The sequence below is a fragment of the Homo sapiens genome, chromosome 5 (genome assembly GCF_000001405.40).
Source record: "Homo sapiens chromosome 5, GRCh38.p14 Primary Assembly".
NCBI classification, from domain to species: Eukaryota; Metazoa; Chordata; class Mammalia; order Primates; family Hominidae; genus Homo; species Homo sapiens.
In genome coordinates this window covers 158890446-158913948 of record NC_000005.10, presented here as the reverse complement: position 1 = coordinate 158913948, position 23503 = coordinate 158890446, and the positions used below count along the sequence as shown (strand labels likewise).

The 23503-nt window shown below is 39.9% G+C and overlaps 1 protein-coding gene across 28 annotated transcripts in view; it reads left to right on the top strand.

Annotated features, from left to right (window-relative positions):
- Positions 1-23503, top strand: part of EBF1 (EBF transcription factor 1) — a 403997-nt gene that overhangs the window by 185968 nt on the left and 194526 nt on the right. The window lies entirely within an intron of this gene.

The window sequence follows — 23503 nt, the reverse complement described above, 5'->3', positions numbered from 1 at the left end:
CAAAAACTCACACTGAATAACTGGTTGCTCATTTAACCTGGTTTCAAGTAGACTTGTTTTTCATTTTCTGCAGTTAAACTAAAGCCTTTGTTGTTTTACGTACAGATATTTTATTTGCGGAGCATATTTATTTCAGTCTGTTGGTATAATACTCGCGCTCTCATGGCCATATGTTATTGATTGAAAAGCCTCCACGAACTCGAATTCTGAATAGGCACTGTATCCTTGGTAGGTGTCCGAGAGGCAGAGATGGAGGGCCTGCTCCCTGCCTTGCCAAACCCATACCGAGGGCCCTTTCCACTGCCCTCCCTCCTCCCAAGCAATACATAAATCACAACTGGTGCAGAGTCCAGTTAATGCTTCAGTTGTTTACACAACCTCTCCCCAAATCTCAGTGGGAGCATGCAGTACCCAGCTTTCTCCTTTTTGGGGTACAGCCATTTCTGCTGGAATCACTAGGATCGAGAAAGCAGACCACCAAAGGCTATTTCTGAAAACACTGATGGAAAATTCTCAGAAATCATTCAAGCCCACTGACGTGTGTTAAGTCAAGTGAAATGTCCCCCTGTGGAACGTCTTTTCCTCCACTTAGTTCAGCTTTAGAACCATGAAGCCCTGGTCTTAATCCTATTTCTGATGTGAGTTAATTTTCAATGCAAGTTTTAAAAAATTTAATTTCACTGATTACTTTGACATGCAATAGTAAAGTAATATAAAAGAATGCCACAAATGATTAAAGTAAAACTTAACAACATACGCATTTTAAAAATCCCAGAACTCTATTTTTGTTATGGGAAATATTAAGTTGCATAATGTGACCCAGCGGTACAGGATAATTGCTTAAGAAGCTGTATTGTACAGATATTTTGTATATTATATCCTCATGTGCAGTATTTCTGGTGATGAATTCCTCTGCAGAAAAAGGCCCTCTTGAATGGATGTTGATTATATCAGAATGTGCACCAAAAGTGATGCCAGGAATAGAAGGTGGTCCTGGATAGGCAGGCATCCTCTGGAAATGTTGAGGACAATATCTCAGGAATTGCCTTTGCGGTCAGCATCTATACTACCTGCAAGAATAACTACTAGAACCTTTTTCATGTGCTACATCTTTTTTTTTCTTGAGGCTGATAGAGAGTAGGAAGGACAGGAATACAAGTGATGTATAAAACATGGCACAGAGCTAATGAGGTGGAATTAGGCATAGTGGAGGGAACTAACCTCTCTGAGCCCCATTTATTATATCTGCAAAGTGGAGCTAACATTTGCCCTATCTTCTTCATGGAGTTGTTGTGAAGATCCTCTGAGACCCATCTGTTTTCCAAATTCTCCTGTTCGTCAGAATCGCCTGAGAGTAGTTAAAATACACATCTCCAGGCCCTTGTACCAAGGGATTCTAGTTCAGTAGGCCTGGGGTGAGGCTTGAGAATCTGTATTCTTAAATATTCTCAGGTGATTTTTATGATCCAGCAAATTTAGAAGGGACGGGTACACCGTATGTTAAGTGCTCTCCAAGATACAGTACTCTTAGGAATTAAGAGGCTTGCACAAGAAGTAATTAGAAAGTAGTTCAAGACTGCACCTATGCATATCACTCCATTTTAAATTGGGCAAAGCTCTGGATTATAGGAATTCTAAGCATCCACTACATTCTGGAACTTGAACTTTGGTGGGTAAGTCCCTGGGATCCGTAGGTGAAACTAATGGCTATGTGAAATTTGCAATGTTTGTGCAGAAATGGGAATCTTTGTGTCCACCAGGAGGATCCATGAGGAAGGGCCCTTACTCTCCTAAGACATGTGCAGCCCACACTACTTAGATGAGCCCTGAGTCAATAGCAGGTGCTTATCAACCAAATATCTAGGTCATTCTGTGAATGTTCTTTATAGTTAAATAGACTCTGGAGGTGAAACTGTCATTACTCACCCACTAAAGAAATGAACTTGGAGAAATGGAAGAGAGAGCAGTTTCTTGTCTGTGAAAGCACATGGAAATGGTGATAGAGATCAGGTATGGCTGTATTTATGAATCATTATTGATGCAGAACCACTTCATACCATGTCAGAGAAGAATAAATTGGATAACAATGGGATGACAGCATCATCTAATCTAATGTTAGTGTGACTTAATAGTTACATTTTAGCTGCCAAGTAGGGCATGTGGAGTGGGTGCTGAGATTCTCAGCTCACAGTGGTTCTAGCCAAGGATCATAACAGGAGTGGTGGGTATACTCTCCTACTCAAGGAATCCCATTCCAGGGCAAGGTGAAATGGGGTGAGTAAGGCTTTTAAGAGATGATGATTATTATGTTATGATTTGTTCCTACTGTATGCTGTCGTAGCAGAAAATGCCCTGTTGTCTGTTTGCAGTGGTAATGGATTATAGCTTGGCTTTAGATGAGATGGAAAAGAAAAATGGGTCTTCATTTCTTCCCCTCTCCACCCTGAGGATGATAGATGATTAAAAACAAAACAAAACTAAAAAAAAACCCCTCTATCCTCATGAGACATTTTTTGTTAATTGTCTCTTTGTAGCTAGTGTAGCTAGCTGTAACCAGCCAGGCTGGTTAGTGATAGAAGTAAACAGTCATGTCTCTGACCTCTGAGGGCTGACAGCTGTAGTTAGTGATACTGAGTTAGTCATAAAGCTCACAGAGGTAAATGAGCAAGCCTTGAATGTTGAAAGAGTACGCTGAAGAAGGTCTAAGCATTTTGTACAAAATGGGTGTTACATTTAGTTTTAGTATTCAGCGATTTCATGAAAGGAAGGAGATTTGCAGAGGTTCCCTGTTCAGATAGGCGACTCGTTGAGGGAAGTTTTCTAGTAGCTGCTGCAATTTCAGAAGTGTGTTCCATGACTGAAGAGATAGAAAGGAGACTATGGTACATGGGGAAGGAAATTCTCTCTGCTGGGCTCTCGGTACTCTCCCCTGACTGCCTTGCTCCCCTGCAAGGCATACACACACTGCTTTAAAATATAGGGGATTTATTTTTCTTGTGAATGTGAAACACTGAATCAGCAGGTGCTAATTGGAAATAGAGTTTTGTGGACTACTCAAGGACAGCAGTGTTTCCCTTTGGGGCCACAAACTGGACTTTATAATTTCCTATTGAATCACTGCAACAGGCTTCAGCCAGCCTTTGTTTAAGGGGTGTCCTAATACTTTCCAAGATCCTGCACCAATTATTGTGTACATCTGGAGAAGACAGGGCTCACAATCTCCAGGTTTTTCCATAAACCATAAAACCTATTTGTTCTGAGAAATACTTAAAGATTGGGGAAAAAATTACTAGGTATTTCTGAGATTAGTCTGAGGGCATACATCAATTAATTTTTTATTGAGCAAAGAAAATCACATCTACATAAAATATGTAGTTTAAAAAAATCATCTTTGCTACAGAGATTCAACATACTGGTTCTTTAGTATAGGATCTAATTTCACCAAAGTAATTGAATCTCACAGTTCTCTGAAACATTTTCAAAGATAGAGGTGTGTTTAGGATTTAATGGTGACCCACCTTCTTCAGCATATCCATATGCTGGTTTACTTCCACGAATTTCTAAGTACCATTAATGGAAATTGAATGTGCCTTTCTCTAAGGGAAATATTAACAGAAAGTTATGCTTTTGTGAGAAGGGCATTTTAATAATTTGATTCTGGTACCATCTTTTTCATCCTTGGAAGAACCACAGCTTGGTGGGTGGCCACCCTGTTTCTGATAGGAACAGTGAGTTTCCATTTTACAGATTGGGACACTGAGGACCAGAGGACAAATAAATCATTTTTGGCTAGCATTGGAGTCAGTAACAAAAATGTCAGACAAATTCCATAGCTCAATGAGGATGACAATGTCTCTTCATTTCAAATGTATGCAGTTGGGAAATTAGGAAATAATACATCTGATTGTATTAAAAATGCTAAAATCTGCTCTTCTAGTTCCAGCTCTGTTCTTTCCCCTGCATTTTTTTTTTTTTTTTTTTTTTTTTTTTTTATAGACAGAGTCTCGTTCTGTCACCAGGCTGGAGTGCAGTGGTGCAATCTCGGCTCACTGCAACCTCTGCTTCCCTGGTTCAACCTCTGCCTCCCTGGTTCGAGTGATTCTCCTGCCTCAGCCTCCTGAATAGCTGGGATTAAAGGCCTGTGCCACCACGTCCAGCTAATTTTTGTATGTTTAGTAGAGACAGGGTTTTACTATGTTGGCCAGGATGGTCTCGATCTCCTGACCTTGTGATCCTCCCGCCTCGGCCTCCCAAAGTGCTGGGATTACAGGTGTCAGCCACCGCACCCGGCCTCCCCTCCTTCTTGACCTGATCTGTAACTGTAAGAACTCTCATAATGGCCAGTGCCCCTGTCTTGGAGAGTGTTCTGTTAGAAGAGGGGTAAATTCTTCCTGAGCCAACCAATGATCAGTCATGCCTGGCAGCATGAGTTTTGATTCCCCTTAATTAAGTATGTATAACTTCAAATGATCCTAATGGTGACACAATTATCTGGTCCTCTTTAATATGCGACCAGGGTTCTTGGTCCTCTAGTTAACATGGGTTATTTTTAAACATAAGCCCTTATTGTTTGGCATTTGTTTCTGTGTCTTCTAAACCAAACCAAACCAAACCAGCCAAACAGAACCCCTCTCCAAAAAACCCCCACCAAAATCCAAACAGACAAACCAACAAAAACCACCAGCACCACCATCCTAACCTGAGTATATGTTGCCGTTCCACCAGAGAAGGAATGCAAACACTCAGTGCAGTTTGTAACACCTTCGTGCATTTCACATCTCACATTTCTGTTCTTTCTTTCTTTTTCTTTCTGTTTTCTTTTTTTTTTTTCTGCTGCCCATGAGTTTCATTTTCCCATGTGCCGTTATATTAATGTTTTTCCCTGCTGGCTTCCCAGCCCGGGGGTCACAGCTTGTGTTTCACAACACAAGACACCCAACCATAAATCTCCTTTAAATAATACAGACGGCAGGAGGGGCACTGTTGAGAGCCAGTCGGTCTGAACAAAGTGGCATTGATGCATGGCAAGCGGAGCAGCTTGACCACAGCCCGGCTGGACAGGTAGAGTGTGGAGCAGCCTTTATTCAAGGGGAGGAAGGCATGTGCTCTGCATGGCTCCAAAGAGCCAACCCGTCCTGGTTCTCAGTATGAGTTGGCTGCCAATCACCGAGGTTTCCAGAGAATAATCACGCCACCTCTTCCTGGCTCCAGTTGGAACACCCAATTAACATAATTTGTGTTTGGAGGTGCAAACGCATCTCCTCCATTATAAATCTACATTTCTTGAGGCCTCTTGGCCATATTTAAAATGAGGTTGGGAACTGTCAGGGTGGAAGTAACAATACACACTTGATCAGAATACATGATGCATTGTGACGAGGCTGTTTCCTTATTCTAAAACCTAGAGTGGTTAATTTAAGGGGCCTGGAAAAAAAGCTTGATTGGAGTTAATGGGAGCCTTGCTTGCAAAGGAGCTTGCTAAGATGGGAAAGGAAAAAGATGAGGGTTTACCTAGGGATTTGTTAGCACAAACAAAAATTATAACAACTTATTGACACCCCTCAGCCAAGATATCATGTTAAGTTAATTTATCTGTGGCAATACCTTTTGTGAACAAAGATATGTGCAAATCTATGTAGACATACATAGAGATGATGTGGACAAGGTATACAAAGATATTTAGTTTGTGCACAAAGATAAAAAATGCATGTATGGGTGTGTACACCCTCCCCAACAGTTTGGGAAATAATTGTCAAGCACAGCAGGTACTGTGTATTTTAAGTAAAGATGAGGATATAGTGAGAGGAGCCACAAAGTTTCTTTCGACTGACAAGTCTTTTCAGGATTTATGCCTTGCTCATCAGTTGCCAAACTCCAGCTCAGTAATTTTTGTCTGCCAAAACTCGGTGGTGGGGTGTTGGGGAGAAGATTAGCATCTCATTTGGTTAATTTTTTTTGGACTCCTTTTTCTACAGCTATTAGTTACACTTCTGAAAAGTCAACACAGCTTCTAATTTCTCGATTACTTAACTCATTGTAGTGGTGTCGGGAGCAGTTTTCATTGAAGTGATTTCTAGAAGCTACTGCATACTTGATAAATGCGCTGAGAACAAAAGAGAGAACACTAATGCAGGGAATGATTGTGCTGGTTTTGGTTGGTTACACCTTTGAGCATTTGTTTTTTTTTTATATTGTTGACATTAATTGCTACTGTAATGTAATAATTGCTTCAAAGATACATGTTTTGGGTGGTGATAGTAGTGAAAGAGGAGAACTGATTCTGTTCTTATTCATTTAAAATAACAAATGAAACTGATAACTCAGGAATTCATTTCATGGGACCAGGACACCCATGAGAATAGGAAGGTTTTGGTAACATATTAACATCCCAAACTGAAAGTTTTGCTTTTCCAGCTTAACGTGGTTTTATATGGGGCATCTCAGTGATGAGTTAATGTGTTATAGAATTACCCTAGATGTTAATTGGGTATCTAGCAATATGCTAAGATACACACCTATTTTCTCAGATTTGCAAGCCATGGGTGTAATTTTGGCCTTATCTTTTTTCCACCTCATCCATAAATGTAGGTTTTCAATTATTTGAAAAAACTTTGTTTCTGATTTTATTTGTTTTGGTGGCTTTTTAGAGCTAAGAACACCATACTAATGCCACCCTGTGAGTATGTGGTATTGCTGTGCACAATACTTCCCTCCTTGTCACCTTCGCTCCACTGTTTTTCTGTCTGGGTCCCCATTAGAGTGACTGCTGCGTGAAGGCAGAGATGATGTCTGTTTCAGAAACTATCATACTCCCAGTATCTAGCCATAATTACTTTTAGTCTGACCAACTTCCCTGATTTGCCTGGGGACTTTCCTGGTTTTAGAACTGAGTTCCAACCCCAGGATGTCCCCCAGTCCTAGACTATCTGGGCACATAGGTGCTCATCAATATTTTCTGAGTAAATGAACCCCTCTTCGTAAGGAGGTTACAGAGTTATGTGGGACAAAAGTGAACTCAACTTCTATTTGAAATTAGTCAGCATCATATATGTACATCTTATCTCCCTGGTCAACAATAAAGGATGTGAGAGCAGGGACTGTGTCTCCTCCATTTCTTTGAATTTTTCACAGTGCGCTAGTAAACATTTCAAGATAGAATTCAATCAAGAGCTAAATGCAATAGAACCAAAGAGCAAATTGTTCTGTGGTATAAACCCAGACTCTACTCCTTCCTGGCTCTGTGAGGTTGGGCAAGTTACTCAATATCTCTGTCATCTTTTTCCATTATCATCATGTGTAAAATGGGAATAATAATAGTACCTGCCTCACAGAGGTGGTGTCAAAATTCAGTAAGACCAAGTACAGAGCACAGCCTCTGCTTCGTGGTGAGTATGAGACGTGTGTAAGCTATTCCTCCTCCTCCCCTGCACCTGCCTGTTCCTTCTCCACACATAATAAACACTGAGCATGTTCAGGTAAGTGACAGCACCTTTTTGTTGTTACATCTCATTAAACTGAATTTTGAGTTGTTTTTGTATAGAATGGTTTGCCTGGAAAAAGGATGCTTTTTTTGTATGTATGATTGGTTCCGAAATGTCTCATTCATTTTACCTGGAGTCTCTTTGCTTTTTTTTTTTTTTTTTTCTGCATTGCCAGGGTAAGGAAAGACAGGCAGCCTACTTCCAAGCAAGTGATCTGTTATAGGTGGGATAGTGAAACTGTCACTTACAACATTCTTGTAGAGAATGAACACAAGACAACACTCATACTGGCAAAGAGAGAAGCTTTGAGGGGAGGTGTGTGATATATTGAGTCTACCTTTATCCCTCTTTCCCTATCGAACCACCTTCCCCTCATGGTAAAGCTGGGACCTAGGTATATTGGTGGCAACATTTCTCTGCTGCTGACCTCAAAGAGACTAAAAGCATACGTGATTGAAATGAAAAATAAATGAGCAGCTATTTATAAATAACTCCTGTTAACGAAGGCATGTGTTTCATGGAAATAATCTCATACAAATGACTGCTTTATTTTGCTCCCTCCTCCATTCCCTTGTATCCCTCCTGCTACCCACTAAGTGGGGCCAGGGCAAGGCTTTCCTTACAGGTCCCCTATTTTCTTAATTTTTCTGGTGGCAAGCAGCAGAACAGAGTGGTGTCACTGGGTTGCCTTTAGAACTTTAGTCATTAAATCTCCTTTGCCCCAGCTTCGGTGATGCATATTTCAATAATGAGCAAGAAAAAATGGTTTATGGTAGTTTAATAAAAGCAGAAGACAAATGTTGCTCCTGTGCAAAGGAACTGAATTACATACTTCATGAACCAAATTAGTACCAAAACATTTGGCTTTGTTCGAAAGGTAATATGCATTTATGGGCCCATTTTTCAGTAAGATAAATATGACACACGCCAAGATTTCCCTGAAGTAAATACTGTAAATAATAAAAGACTCTGCCAAGGAAAGCTGAGAAATGACTTAATCCTCATCCAGTGCTATCGCAATGCCAAAATGCCACTGTCCAGACTTGAGAACAAACTGCCTCTTTAATAAACTCATCTCATGATCAAGAGAGTGCAAGGCCCTTTAATTTCCCAATAATGGTCAATATTCCTCAATTCCGGCTTAAAAAAAATACATTCACATAGGAGCTAGGGCATTTTATGGCATAAGCAAATTTGATTACCAAGTAACAAAATACATTTTGAGGATGGTTGGGAGTTACACGGCAGCAATGTTTATGTGAATAGGTGCAAATGGGGGAGGTTTTTGCAGAAAGTTAAAGCTATCACTCTTAGCCTAACTCTATAATCCTCATTTCGCTTGAGCTTATTCCAGTTAAAGTTTTCTGCTAGCAAAATGTGCTGAATGTATTTCTTCCCTGGGTGCAGATTTGCCTGTGAGAAGCTGGGATGATAAACAGAATGCTGTGAGATGTGAATAATATGAGAATTCACAGTGCCAGCAAGTGCCTTCTTTAAAGTCATTCAGCTGGCTCTAGAAGATGTTACAACACACTTCTTGTAGTAGGGCACATTGTTGTCTTAATGCTGGAGAATAACAAATTGAAATGCCACCTGAGCAGGCAGTAATATAAATGAACCGAGGAGGTGAGATTTGAGAAATGTATTAGGGAGTGGTGGGGACTGGGGCAGACCGGCGAGCATGTGCCTTGTATAAAGGGGAAGTCACCAATATACCAGGTCCCAGCTTTACCATAAGAGGAAGGCGGTTCTGTAGGGAGAGAGGGGTAAAGGTAGACTCAGTGGGCCTTTAGAAATGGGCCCATAAATGGATATTACCTTTCGAAAAAAGTCAAATTCAGTTCCTTTCTAATTTCGGTTCCCAACTAATAGCTGCTATGCAGGAATGTGGACCTAGTATTGCTGGATGTTTTATTTTCACAAAATGTGGGATATCTTGATGTTTCAGTGAATGCTCCCAATTAGTAAATGCTGACAATAAAACCAGAAAGGCTCTGTATCCCAAATAAAACAAAGGTCATGGGCTTAGAGTTTGTGAATTGTGCTTTGAAGTTTTGGGCTTGCAACACAAGAAAACAAGTAGGCTGTAATGAATGGCATTTAGTCCTGAGGCAGAGGCAAAGGTGGCAGCACACGTGGCTGGGAACTTGCTGTCTGCTGGGATCTGTCCTAAGCTCCAGGTGCATCAACTCATTGGATCTTCAGGTCCCCCTCTCAAGCAGGCACTGTGAGTAGGTACTATTTCTTCTCTGTTTTATAGATGTGGAAATTGAGGCTCCAGAAGGCACAGGCAGAATTTGAACTCAGATTGGCTCTGTGAGCTCTGAGGCACCACTCAAGCATTCCTTCCCCTTGCTTTGGTGGTGTGGCACCACAGGAAGTAATGTGAATTGGAGTCAGGGCCTTGGGTTTGGTTTTGCAGCTCCCCACTCCTTCTTGTCTTTTACCCTGAGCCTCTACTTCTTGCTGGATCAAGTGTTTTGTACCCTCCACCCCCTAGATTACCGGGTCTTTTACTCTGAGCCTCTACTTCTCCTTGTATCAAGTGGACATGATAGTACCTGCCCACTTTACCTCACGGGGTGGGGAAGGATTACCTCAGGAATATAAGCAGAAGAGTGTGGAAAATTGTAAAGTGCTCTGTCAACACAAGGAGAAGGAATATTGCTCATAATTAGAGAATACAGAGAGGTGAGATAGTAAAGCCACTGATTGTCTTTGGATCAAATACAATTAAATAGCAATCCCTTCTTGACTCTTCAACTCAATAAAGTGTCTATTTGTAGAAGTGGCTAAAACTGAATTCACTTTGAAAATTAATCAGCCACCACCAATGGCTGGATTAGCAGACTGCGTTTTTTTTTTAAGTGAAAAAGAACATAGCAGATAAAGAAATCTACCTTCCAAACAGAAGTTAACAGCCTAAGACCTGCCCATTGTCTGCCAGGCTCTTGACAGGAGGACAGAGCATGAGGGCACCCCACTGCTGGTGCCTTCTGTAACCCCTAATCAAGGGACTTCCCTTAGGAGAAGCCAGAGAGAAGAGAGGGGCCATTGCTGACCTGATTTGGAACTATTAATTGAAGTTGGCTGATAAGGGCACGTTCCTGACCCAGACACGGTGAGCATTTGAAGAGAAAAAGAAAAAAAGGGGCATGCAGAAAACATTTATGGAAAATACCCCAAGAATGATGCAGAAAGCTGTTTATGCATGTAGGCAGTGAGTAATCTTCTTATTTATAAATGAATGAGCTGACCCGGGGAAGGGGAGCTTTGTGGATTATAATCACAATCCAATGCGACAGGCTTCTTCGCTGAAGAGCTCTCCCCTCATTGACAGCCAAAGCCTTGCAGAATTTTTCCCCCTTTATACTGGAGTCTCAACCTAATGGCAGTGCTAATTTGTCCTCCAAAGTTTCGTGAACTGAAGGTCTTAGTTATTTTAGTTTACAAGATCTACTTTAAGGAAAATCTTTTGTGCCTGCTAGATGTTGTTCTTAACTTTCCAGCTTTCCCTTCTCCACTTTCCCCAGAGCCGTCCTTTGGCTCTACCCAGCAAAGTCTCTAACCGCACCTGTCAAAGAACCTTTCCTGTCTCTGGGCTTGGATTGGACACCCCCAGTTAGAACCCTTGCCTGCTCTTTTCTATCCACAGCTTTGTGTCCTTGGCCACCATGCTGAAATCTGTTGTCCCCATACGAGAAGCCTTTTGGGCTGGGCTCTGTGGCTCACACCTGTAATCTCAGCACTTTGAGAGGCTGATATGGGAGGATCCCTTGAGACCAGGAGTTTGGACCAGCTTGGGCAACATAGAGAGACCTTGTCTCTAATAATAATAATAATAATGATAATAATAATAATAATAATAATAAAATTATTCAGGTGTGGTGGTGCATGCCTGTAGTCCTAGATACTTGGGAGGCTGAGGCAGGAAGATTGCTTGATCCCTGAGTTCAAGGCTGCAGTGAGCTATGATTGCACCACTGCAACTGCATTGCAGCCTGGGACACAGAGCAAGATCCTATTTCTAGAAGAAAAAAAAAAAAAAGAAAAAGAAGCAGGCTTTTGGGCCTAATCGTACTTTGATCATGCCATGAATCAAGTCAGCTTGTGACTTGGGCATGGAGTTTCATCAATACTCTTGCTCAGTAATTGATAGGTAATTATTTTGAGGGTGGAGTTTTGATTGCATTGTGTGGTTGTGTCTCTACAGCCTCATGGGAGACATTGTTATTAGCTTCCTAAGAATTTCCTCTCCTTCTCGACAGCAGTAAAAAAATACATAAACAAGCACTTCTTACTCTCAGTAGATGGGAAGCAGTATACTGTCAAGTTAGGAGCATCAGAAAACTTCTGTTTTGTTTTTTTGTTTTTTGAGATGGAGTCTTGCTCTGTCGTGCCCAGGCTGGAGTGCAGTGTTGCAATCTTGGCTCACTGCAACCTCCGCCCCCCTGGTTCAAGTGATTCTCCTGCCTCAGCCTCCTGAGTAGCTGAGACTACAGGTGCATGCCACCAAACCCAGCTAATTTTTGTATTTTTAGTAGAGACAGGGTTGTACCATGTTGGTCAGGCTGGTCTCGAACCCCTGGCCTCAAGTGATCCACCTGCCTTGGCTTCCCAAAGTGCTGGTATTACAGGCGTGAGCCACCACACCAGGCCGAAAACTTGGTTTTGAGTCTTCTCTTCACTACTCACTCTCTGTGTAAACCGGGGGAAGTTACTGCATTCTCTATACCTCCCTTTTCATATCTCTAAAAAGGGGGTTAAAAGAATACCTACTTCATATAACTAACATATGCCTAGCATATACCCCAAATATTTCTTGGTAAGCTCTTAATAAATGTTAGCTATAATTATTATTATGGAAAATGCTTGTTGACTAACTGAACTTATCGCCAAATACTTTTGCTGTTGCAAAATAGTGCTCACATAGTGTTGGATGTTGAATGAAGAATGAAAAAAATGATTGAATGAGGGAATGAATGAACCAGAAGGCACAGATATATTCATTCATTTATTGTTGACTACCCATTGAGTGGCAGCTGAGGATGTAGCCAAGAACAAGACAAACACTATCCCTGCTGTCATGGACTTCAAGCCCAGAGAAGGCAGACAAATAATAGGAAAATTAAATAAATAATTAAGGCAATTTTTCAGACAGCAAGCTTTAGCGGTGCTTGGTGAACATGAGGACAATTACAGAGAACTAATGGTATTTATCCTACTGTCAACCCAATGGAGAAAGTAGGTTCAAATGTCTGATAAGATGTATGAGAGAGAGAAAGAATTGTTCTATGTTATTCCAAAGAGCAAGAATAACATCCATGTGGTAGAAGTTAACAAGGAAGATGATTTTAACTCTGGCTAATGAAGATACTTCTGGCTCAATAGTCCAGGAGTAGACTGACTGCCTTGAGGGCAGTGAGTTCATTATCAAAAGAAGAGCATAAACAGAATCTGAGGGACATTCTTGAGTAATATGTAAGGTTGCTTTGGATAATCTCTAAGGTTTTTTGTAGAGTAAAGATTCTAGGATTTGCTGTTCTCCAATTGACTAATGAAGAGATCTCTTAGGCTTTGGGATAAGAGAGACCACGTTTCAAGTCTAATTATTAATACTATCTGCGGGACCTTACTTATTTCCACTTTACTTTCCTCTTCTGTAGAATGGGTAGACTTATTTGGAATGCGGTAAGGATTACATTAACTGAGGCTTGTAAAGTACCTAGTGTAACGCCTGGTGCCCAATAAATGGCAGTTGCTGTTGCAGTTGATATTTTTATGATCATTGTTATTAGCATCAAAATTTGGGAATAGCTGTCTTAGTTCTCTGCTTCAGGGGATCCTCCCTGCTGAGGCAGTGACTAGGGAGCAAGTCAAGGAAGTAGTTAGGGGTCAGTGGGAAACAGGTGGTAGCTGCCTTGTTGAAAAAAACAGAGTTGTACAAATGCTATCAATTTCCGGGCCTCATGCCCATGTCGTTACCAAATCAGAACTGCCTAGAGAGAAAGAGCCCTCCTCCATCTCCGATGACAGTTCTTTTATCATTTTTCCCTCTTCTGAGCTACCTTTAGTGTTAATCAAAATTTGATTTCATTAGGAAGGAAAAAGTAGTAAAAAGTGATAGAGGAGTGGAGACACAGTATAATTTGTTTTGCACCCTCCACTCCCCTCTCCCACCGCCCAGGTCTCCAGGGAGATGGCCTTGAAGATACATTCACATATGCCTCTTGGATCCAGGCATCTTTGTAAAATATAACCCCAGAGGGAAAAACACAAGAACATCTTCTTAGATAAGAACGTGCCAATTCTTCTGGTTCAAAATGTCTTCACGTGAAAAATTTCCTGCAGCGGTAGGAGGAAGCTCACACACAGGACAAGCATGAGACACATCTGGAGGGAGCCCAAGCCGGGAACCCGAGGGCCTGACCATCTGCCAGAGGGCCAGATGCTGCTGCTGGAAGCCTCTTGCCTCCCAGCTTGTCATCTGGGTTCGATGATGCCATCCAAAAGAGGGCCACAGAGTGGGAGGGCGATGAGCAATCCATCTTCTCCCACCCACGGTTCTTAATTGTGTGATGTAGGGGGTGGTAGGAAGAGAAGAGGGTTAAAAAGTTTGCCCACAAAACCGCACCTTTCTCATGGAAATGGCCATCCTAAAACACATGGCTCTGACCACCCAGAACTTTTAGAATATTCCATTCAATATCTCTTCATTTTCCTTCGGTCTAAATAGAATGGATGAAGAGGCTTGGCTGTGTAGTTGTCAGTGGGAGCTGCCATCTTCTGTCAACTTGGGAGTGTATTAAGAGTTTCTAACCAATTGCATTGGTCGTTACATTATAGGATTTCCTATATTGCAAGTGTTCTTCCCGTTAACAGCTTTGGTGTCTGATTTTGGCCAAAGCAGATCATTGGGATTCAGAGGGACATCCTCTTCTTTTTCCATTGCAGAAACAATCAAGAGTCTGTGCACACGGCACTCATAAAAGGAAAATGATCAAAACCACACACACAAAAAGACTATTAAATTCCAGATGAGATTACTGCTTCCTGTGATTCCCACCATTCGGGAATGCCTTTCTGCTTCGTGATTGCCCACTGACAGACTTACACAAGCAAGATGTAAACATAGTAGGATTATCTCTTACACTATCACATATGTTTTATGCTAAATCATTAGACATCTAGGATGGTTTTAGCCATGGCCTGTTTTCAGTGCCAGTGGTGGTATATTTTTGTACTAGTGTACGTGCTTTAACTCACAAGTAATTGCAATATTTTCTAGGCATATGCAAGGCAGAAACTGTTTTATTTTAAAATGGCACCTGTTGGAATAGTTTAATATGTAATTTTCATTTTCACGTAATTATTCAGATACATTATTGAATAACTTACGCATCTTGTATTCAACAATATGGGGAACAGTATACTGTGTGTCTACAGTCTTGGGCTGCTGATAGTTCCTCTGCATTCATTAGAGGAATGACTGGGGCATCTTGGGCTGAAACCTTGTTATCGCTGCTCTTTGTAAGCAGGTTGTGTTGTCACTGTAGGGAGGGAGGGCTGTTTTAAGCTTCGTTCCCACATTTCTTTTTGCAGGGCTGGTAGGACCACCACCTCAGGCAGTCTTTCACTGCCCTGTAACGTGGATCCTTCCTAAATCTTCACTGTTGGATTGTGTGGCAACTTCTGCCTATTAGAGTTGCATCTGCAATAAAAAAGCGAGGTTCCTGAGAGACAAAAAAGATAATCCCCCGCTTAGTGCGTGGATGACAGCCACACTGAGTGCAGTACTACCAGTGGAAAGTCTGAGGTTTTGAAAATAGCAGAAGTGAAGGAAATGAAAATGTGATGTGAATTTATACCCAACAATTGTTTTCTATATTTCTCAGGCTAACAAATGTCCCAGTTAGAAAAACCTCTGGTACTGGGTAGTTTGGAAAAATAAAAGTTGCATTGCAAAAATAAAAAGAAAGATCCCATTCTAAGGTTAGAGCAAATGTTTGAAGGTGGATAGAACTTCCGATTCTGGTTGGTGGTTTATTACATATGCTTCAGGGACTTGGGCACATTTGACTACAATGAGTAATTTCTGAGAAAGGATAGTGAGGGAGAAGAACTTTTCTGTCAGCGTCAGAAATTCTTAAGTCTGATGTCAAATGATTAGTAATGATGTGGAACAGTTGCCAATGCAAATATTGGTAAAAGGAGAGCACCTGGAGATATCAAAAAAGACCAGGGGCTATTCAGACCCAAGATAGATGTCTCTGGTCTTCAGTAGCTAAGTATATATACTATAATAACAGTGCTGCTTTTGATATTTAAAAAAAATGTTTTAAAGACAAAGGGTAAACTTAAAAGTCATGGTTCTTAAATAGCAAGAGATTAGGGTCTTCTGGGGAACAAAACTCCAACAAAAGATTCCCTTTTACACAGTTTTAGAATCAGCAATGATCTTTCAATGGCAAATAGTGATGGCCAGCATTTGTTGAGCCCTCTAGATGCCTCGCCCAGTACCCTTTGTGCATTGTCTCATTTCCTCCTCACAGCAGTCCAGTGGAGGTAGTATTAATATCCCCATTTTCCACTGTCAAAGCTCACACCACTCTTCACTGTTGGAGACAAGACATAATTCTCCATTTCCAAACTAATCATCTTATAAAAGGAAGAAAAAGTGACTTCACCAAAACAGCTGTGGGGGCAGTGGCACAACTTGAACTTGAAGCTAAGTCTTGTGGCTCTTTTTGCCATTGGATGGTGGCTTCTATGAAATTCTGTTGCTTGTGGTTAATTAGTATCATCAACTTGCACAGTTCATTTCTTAGTCACATATGCATGTTAACTGTCCCTTTCAACTAGATGAGAGCAAGAATGATTTTTTTTTTTAACGTTTAAGTTCAGGGCCACATGTGCAGGATGTGCAGGTTTGTTATATAGGTAAACGTGTGTCATGGGGGTTTGTTGTACAGATTATTTCATCATCCAGGTATTAAGCCTAGTACCCATTAGTTATTTTTCCTCATCCTCTCCCTCCTCCAACCCTCCACCCTCTAGAAGGCCCTAGTGTGTGTTGTTTCCCTCTATGTGTCCATGTGTTCTCATCATTTAGCTTCCACTTGTAAGTGAGAACATGCAGTATTTGGTTTTCTGTTTTGTGTTAGTTTGCTAAGGATAATGGCCTCCAGCTCCATCCATGTCCCGCAAAGGACATGATCTCTTTCTTTTTATAGCTGCATAGTATTCCATGGTGTGTATGTACCACATTTTCTTTATCCAGTCTATCACTGATGGGCATTTGGGTTGATTCCATGTCTTTGTTATTGTGAATAGTGCTGCATGAACATACACGTTCATATATGTCTTTATAATAGAATGAGAGCAAGAATGATTTCAGTTGCCCTGCAGTAATACTAAGGGTCTAATAGACCCTTAACAAATATGAACTGGCTGTCAAAATGCCTCTGTGTTCGGTGTGTCTTGGGCTGAAATCAAGGGACCCAAATTCTACCTCCATTACTATTTAGCTATAAGAACTGGGCACATCTCTGAAACTCTGTTTGTGCCACTGGGATAGGATAGGTGGGTGGGCAGGGGTAGGGGCAACCAGTTTTTTTTTCTGATCTTCCAAGGAGAGAAATGAAATATCAAAAGTGGAAATTCTTTGGGTATTTATTTTACAAGAGGTTTTAAAGAGCTATTGGAGTCATTTGGCCTACAGAGACAATTTTAATGGAGTAATGAAAGAAGATGGTGAGATCCTGGAGAATAAAGCAACCACCCACGTGACTTTATCCTATGTGTGTAAATATGCACAACACATATGTACAACATCAGAGAAACAAGAACTTTGAAATCATACAATTTGAGTCCCAGCCTTTGCCACTTAGCTGTGTGGTCTTGAGCAAGTTACTTAAGCTTTGATTTTTTTCATCAGGAAGTTGTGGGTAATAATATTCCCCTAAAACAAGATTAAATTAGAGAATTATGAAAAACAGTCAGCATGTAGTACATTACAGGTCTTCAGAAATGGTAGCGATTACTATTATTGAATGAACCATTTATTGAGTGTTTAATCTTTCAGAAACGTGTATAAAGGAGATACAAGAAAAGAAATGGGCAAAGCTTGTGCCCTCTGGAGATTACAATTTAATAGGTAATAGTTGAGGAAAAAAAACTCAACTTCCCATCAATATAGCAAATCTTATTCAACAGTGGATAATTAAATGGAAATTCTGTGATCCGTTCTCCACATCGAATGGTACCGTATTCCTTGAAAGCTCTTTATCCTCAAGTGATTAAGGAATATTTTATTTTGATTGAAAGTGATTTGAAACTTGCCTTCTGTGAAGGGTTAACAATCCATATTATTATTTCTTTCTTTTATTGACTTTGTAGCTAAAGAACCTTTCCTTGTTCAACCTGACTTTGCCTTTAATTTTTCTCTTCCTTGTTATCTGTTGTATACAGTAATTGGGAATTCCTTTCCTTTCCATCTTTTAACCACTCCTCTTCTTTGCCTCTCTCTTTGTGCTGAATCAAGAATGCATTTCAGGAGAAGAAATGTTTGTATATGTCAATAGTTCCAAAAGTATGATTTGGCTGATCTCAGGAGTTTTATTTTTAGAACTTGGAAGTTGAGTTGCATTTCAGCAGCTGGTTGGAAAACAAGCTTCAGATATGTTTACAGGCTGGGAGCAGTTTCCACTTCTGCCTCAAGGGATCACTGGTTAGGTAGTTCAGGCTACCAGGCTTCAGAATCTCCTTTGGCCAGGTCACTCCTCCTGATCTGAATTGCTTACCATTCTCCTCTCAGGAAGTATTTGGTTTATTGATGGTGTCCCAGTAGAATGATAGCATTGTCTTTAGTCACTGACCTGGGCAGGGCAGATGACTTTCCTTCTTTCTGGCCCAGCCTCTTGTCTGTAGATTATGCATAATATTTGGCATCGATTATTGTGACCATTAAATGAGATAATACATGTAGAATGCTTAGGACGTATAGTAAGTACTCTGTAAATGTCCACTGATATTAGTATTAACTTTATTTTCATCACGATTTTTATTATAGAATAGCCAAACAAATATTATCGTTACAATTTTATTTTGAGACAGGGCCTCGCTATGTTGCCAGGCTGGCTTCAAATTCCTAGGCTCAAGCAATCCATCTGCTGTTGAACCTGGCTAAATGTTATTTTTTTACTGCGTTTTTATTCTTTTTCAAAGTGCTGTACTGAGTACTCTGTGCATAATGAATGCTCAATGAATAGTGCTGGTGTCCAACATTTCCTACCTGGCATCTGACTTATTATTGATGTTCATAGTCCTACAAGGGAAAATGATCATCTGTTCTCCTCAGCTGGTAAATAAATTTGGACAATGGTAAATAAATTTGGACAAGATTCTTATAGACTGAAATTGATTTTGGCATTCATTATAATCTTTGTCCTATTTAATGTTCATATTTATATATTTCACTGATGGGTTGTTACATAATATACAGTATATATAGTATATGTAACATTAACTTTCTAAAATCTAAAGGGTTCTGCATTCTGAAACATACCTGGCTTCTTAAAGGAAACCAGATAAGGGACTGTTGGCTTAGAGATGTGGGCGAATTGATACTTTATAAAGCTTTTCTGTGCACTGGCCCATCTGATTGTTGTAAAAGCCCATTGAAATCAGCAGGGCAAGCATGAGTCCCATTTTACAGATAAGGAAATGGAAACACAGGGACGTTGGATTACCTGTCCAGGTGACACAGTAAATGGCCAAGTTCCTATATTTCTTCTGCCACACTTCCTGCTCTTCTCTGTGATGTTGAAAGAGCAACTAATCTTGCCTGTAAAACAACGAGGAGGTGATATCTGGTTTGAGTTTTGAAGGATGGGTCACTCTACATGCCGCAAGTAATTGGGACCTTTTTAGCATCATGGAAACTAATCTGCCACTTGATGGAACTTAACCCAGGGTAGTTTCAGGAGTATGAGTAAAAAAGGGGGAGAAAAATAAACCTGAAAAGGATAAAGACATATTTAGGCATTAAAAGATTTTACTTTTTATTTATCTGCCTTCTATTTTTTATTTTCTCATGTTTGTGCATAGAGAGGATTTTTAAGAACCAAAGAAAAAAAATTCAATGGCCTCTTCCCTAACTCAAGCTTGAAAAAAGATCCAAAATAGATTTGATTCAAAGAATAATATTGTCCCATTATTAAATTTTGGTATCAGAAATGCATAGAGAAATTTAATGATTATTTCATGATGCAATCAATACTCTGTGGACTCTGCCATGTTTGCTGGGAACTTGGAAGTGACATTTTAAAGGATATGTTAATTTTTTATTTTAGTGACCTTTTTTTCCTTCATTCATTTGCAGGAGTTTTAGTATTTGGGCCAGAACTGCTTAAAACATATTTTAAATAAAGCTTCTCAACCTCACTTCCCTCCTTTTTTAATGATGTAATCTTTGATCATTTTAAATGTTTTAACAGAGCTCTTTAAAGAACACCAAATCTTTGTAAGATTTCTCAGATAACATTGTCCTACACCTGGAACACAAGAACCATTTTGAAACTGTAATTTGGTCCCCGAAGAGCCCTTCAGCCTCTTCCCTGCTTGCTTGCCCTGACTGGACTGTCTAGAAAGAAAGCTGAAGATAAATGGGGCTGGATTTATGCAGAGTAACTTAAAGTCTCCTGCCTCTTCTTGTCTGTCTTGTGGAGAATATACTTGGAAATGTGTTTTAAGTTTGAAGCATCCCTTGAACACCTATTTTGTGATTTTGTTTTCTTCCTTTCTCTTCGTGGAACCTTTATTAGAAGACTGACGAGCCTTGGCCTCAGCAAAGGATTAAGTGAGCAGATTCTTCATGTAATAAATCTAAAGACATATTAAAAGCAAGGAAAAGGGATTTCCCCTGTGTTTTGGGGGGATTTATAAGTGCCAAAGGCTAAACAACTTACAAGAGAAGTAAGATTGCCCCTTTTTCTAACCTGGACATGTTCTAATATTGTGACATAGCGTAGAATTAAGCTGGCTTACTAAGTAGAAACATGTAACATAATTGAAAATGCACAATACAGAGAGGAATTCTCGATACAGCAATGTCCTGTTGTGAAGATTACACTGATTTATAAGGAATGCCTTAACTCCTAATCCCAGCCATGCAAGACTACAGAGTCAAGTTGAGTATTTTATAACCAGGGGAAGAGAAAAAAGGCTTAATAATATATATTCCCAAAATTGAATATAAATTTGGAACTGATGGTTGAGCAAGCCATTCATTTCTCTTAAAACAATGTAACAATGAAAACATTTTTATTACATTTTGACATGTGGATTTTCAAAGAAGTTCAGGCATTCTCTATTTCAGAAATGATGGGTATAGCCAAATCAGAGAGTGAGTAATGGAAATGAATGGTGTGTGAGGGAGAAGGATAAATATTGTGGGACATAAACTGTTTAGAAAAGATCAGCAAAGAAGAAACGTGTCAGGCTAGCAGAAATGAAGCCAAAGGAATAACCTTATGTATAAAGTAAGGGTTAGAAAAAAAATCAAAGTAAAAGGGGCGCTTCGAGTAGGTGCTGAGTGAGCAAAATCATTATGGCTTGAAATTAAAAATAATAAAAAATAAGAATAGAAATTGAGTGCACCACTTCTTTCTTTTTTTGTAAAATGTCTTACCAGGAAAAGTCATATCATGAGGTCTGCTCAGGATGGAGAATTTTAAGAGCTTGTTTATGCATCAAAGATATCATGGGGATTGTACCCATGTCTAAGTTCAAAATATATTTTATGTATATATGTCTTAAACTTATAGCCTAAAGGCAATTTTATACAATATATTAGATAATTTTGTGCATGAAACGAAGTTTTGACTGCGACCCCATCGCATGAGGCCAGGAGTGGAATTTTCCACTTGTGTCATGTTGGCACTTAAGCTCATATTTTGGAGCATTTTGGATTTGAGATCTTTGGTTTTTTTTGTTTCGTCATCCAGGATGGAATGCAGTAGCACAATCTTGGCTCCCTGAAGCCTCCGCCTCCCGGGTTCAAGCAATTCTCCTCCCTCAGCTTCCCGAGTAGCTGGGGTTACAGGTGTGCACCACCACAACCGGCTAGTTTTTGTATTTTTAGTAGAGATGGAGTTTCACCATGTTGGTTAGGCTGGTCTCAAACTCCTGATCTCAAGTGATCCGCCTGCCTCAGCCTCCTAAAGTGATGGGATTACAGGCATAAGCCACTGTGCCTGGCCTCAGATTTTTGGATTAGGGATGCTTAACCTGTATATAACGGTGGAAGAGTAAAATATTGTTGAATAGAATATTAAACTTAGGAAGGACTATAAATATGTGTGTGTATGTGTATGTGTGTGTGTGTGCATATAGGAATAAAATGAAGGGAAATATCTTTGGAAGATAGTATTCCCTGGTATGTTACACAATCACAGCAATTGTGGATGAAATCCATAAAGGCTATGTTGACTGTGCATATAGAACAAGGGGAGCTCTTAGGTGAATGGTAACTCATTGGCAAAAATAAATAAATAAATAAATATTTTTTAAAAATAAAGACAATATTGAGCTTTGCATCATTTGTTTGTCAGTGAGACCAGAAGAATAAAAACTGAAATACCAAAAGAAATTTCTAGTTCATAGGAACTGGAAAACTATAGAGTAAGAGAGAGTTGAACATTCAAAACCTTGCCAAGGAGACTTAACTGAGCCAAGAAATGGCTAAATATTGTGTGTGTCTACAGCACACACATACGTATGCGTAAACATACCTATGTAATTTACAATTTACACACATATATACACATAGACATACACACACACACATATATATGCATATACACTAGCTGGCTCTAAGAAGGAAAATTACCAGAGAAATAAAGATTAGCCCAAAGTTGAGACCTGGGAAAGTGATGGCTCTGGAAATGGCCAGACTTTAGCACTGGGTCTACTTCGAATCCAAAGGAAATAACAGGGGAGAGATGCTGGAGAGATTTATTTTTTGCTTGCAGGGAAGTGGGCATTAGGGGAAAAATACACATATATATCAATAAAAAGGGAAGAGGATTTTGTTACCATAAGAGAAGGATGAGCTTCTTCCTACAGTTACAGGGACACAGTTCCCACTGAAATCAATTTTCGTTGCTCAGAGACCACTGCACTTAGTTTTCTAACTGCAGAAGTTGGCTACATACAGAAATGATGTCTTGAAGCCAAAAGAAGGCAGTGGCAAGAGAGAGACATAGGGTTTTAAAAATGCCAACCTCTCAAATCAGAAAGCATTGTTGTGCTCAAACTAAAACAAACAAACACACACAAAACTAAATTATGTACCGTGGGAAATCGTGAACTTCAATACCTCCTCACTTCAGGATAACCTGTGATTCTTTTGTGGAAGACAGAGTAACATACCAGTTTCACTTGTGGATTAACTTCCTGAGTGGACAGAAAATCTGTCTTATGCTCAACAGTCAAGTTGTTTTATTTATCTTTGATGTTTCAGGCAAGGGGAAGAAAACAAATAGTTTCCATAATAAGGTAGACACTAGCCCAGGATGCAGTAAAGCATTTCCTGAGGACTTGGCTAAAAGGAGGTAGAACTAATACCATCAAAGCTGATTGAGTTTTATTTTAAAATGTTAAATAGAAAACCTACACTTTCAAAAGTGATCCATTCCCAAGTAAAGGGAAAATGACATCATCTCAACTTCAGTATATAAAACTCTTGTATATTTGATACCAGGCTTAGCAGCAGGGTGGCGGGGGCTTCGGGGAAGGACCAAAAACAAAGGCAGCAGACAAAATGAAAAGTATAAATAGAAGTATTGAATATACAGTAACCTGGAGGAAATTACTCTAATGCTGCTCTCAGTTCTTGTCTCCATTTGTAACAATGAGAAAGAAATGACTGAGGTATGTAAGATAATGCTATAGGAGTCCCATGGTTCAGACAGGAAAAAGGTCTGTGTCTTTAGAAAAGAAAATTAAAAGATTAATGGAGC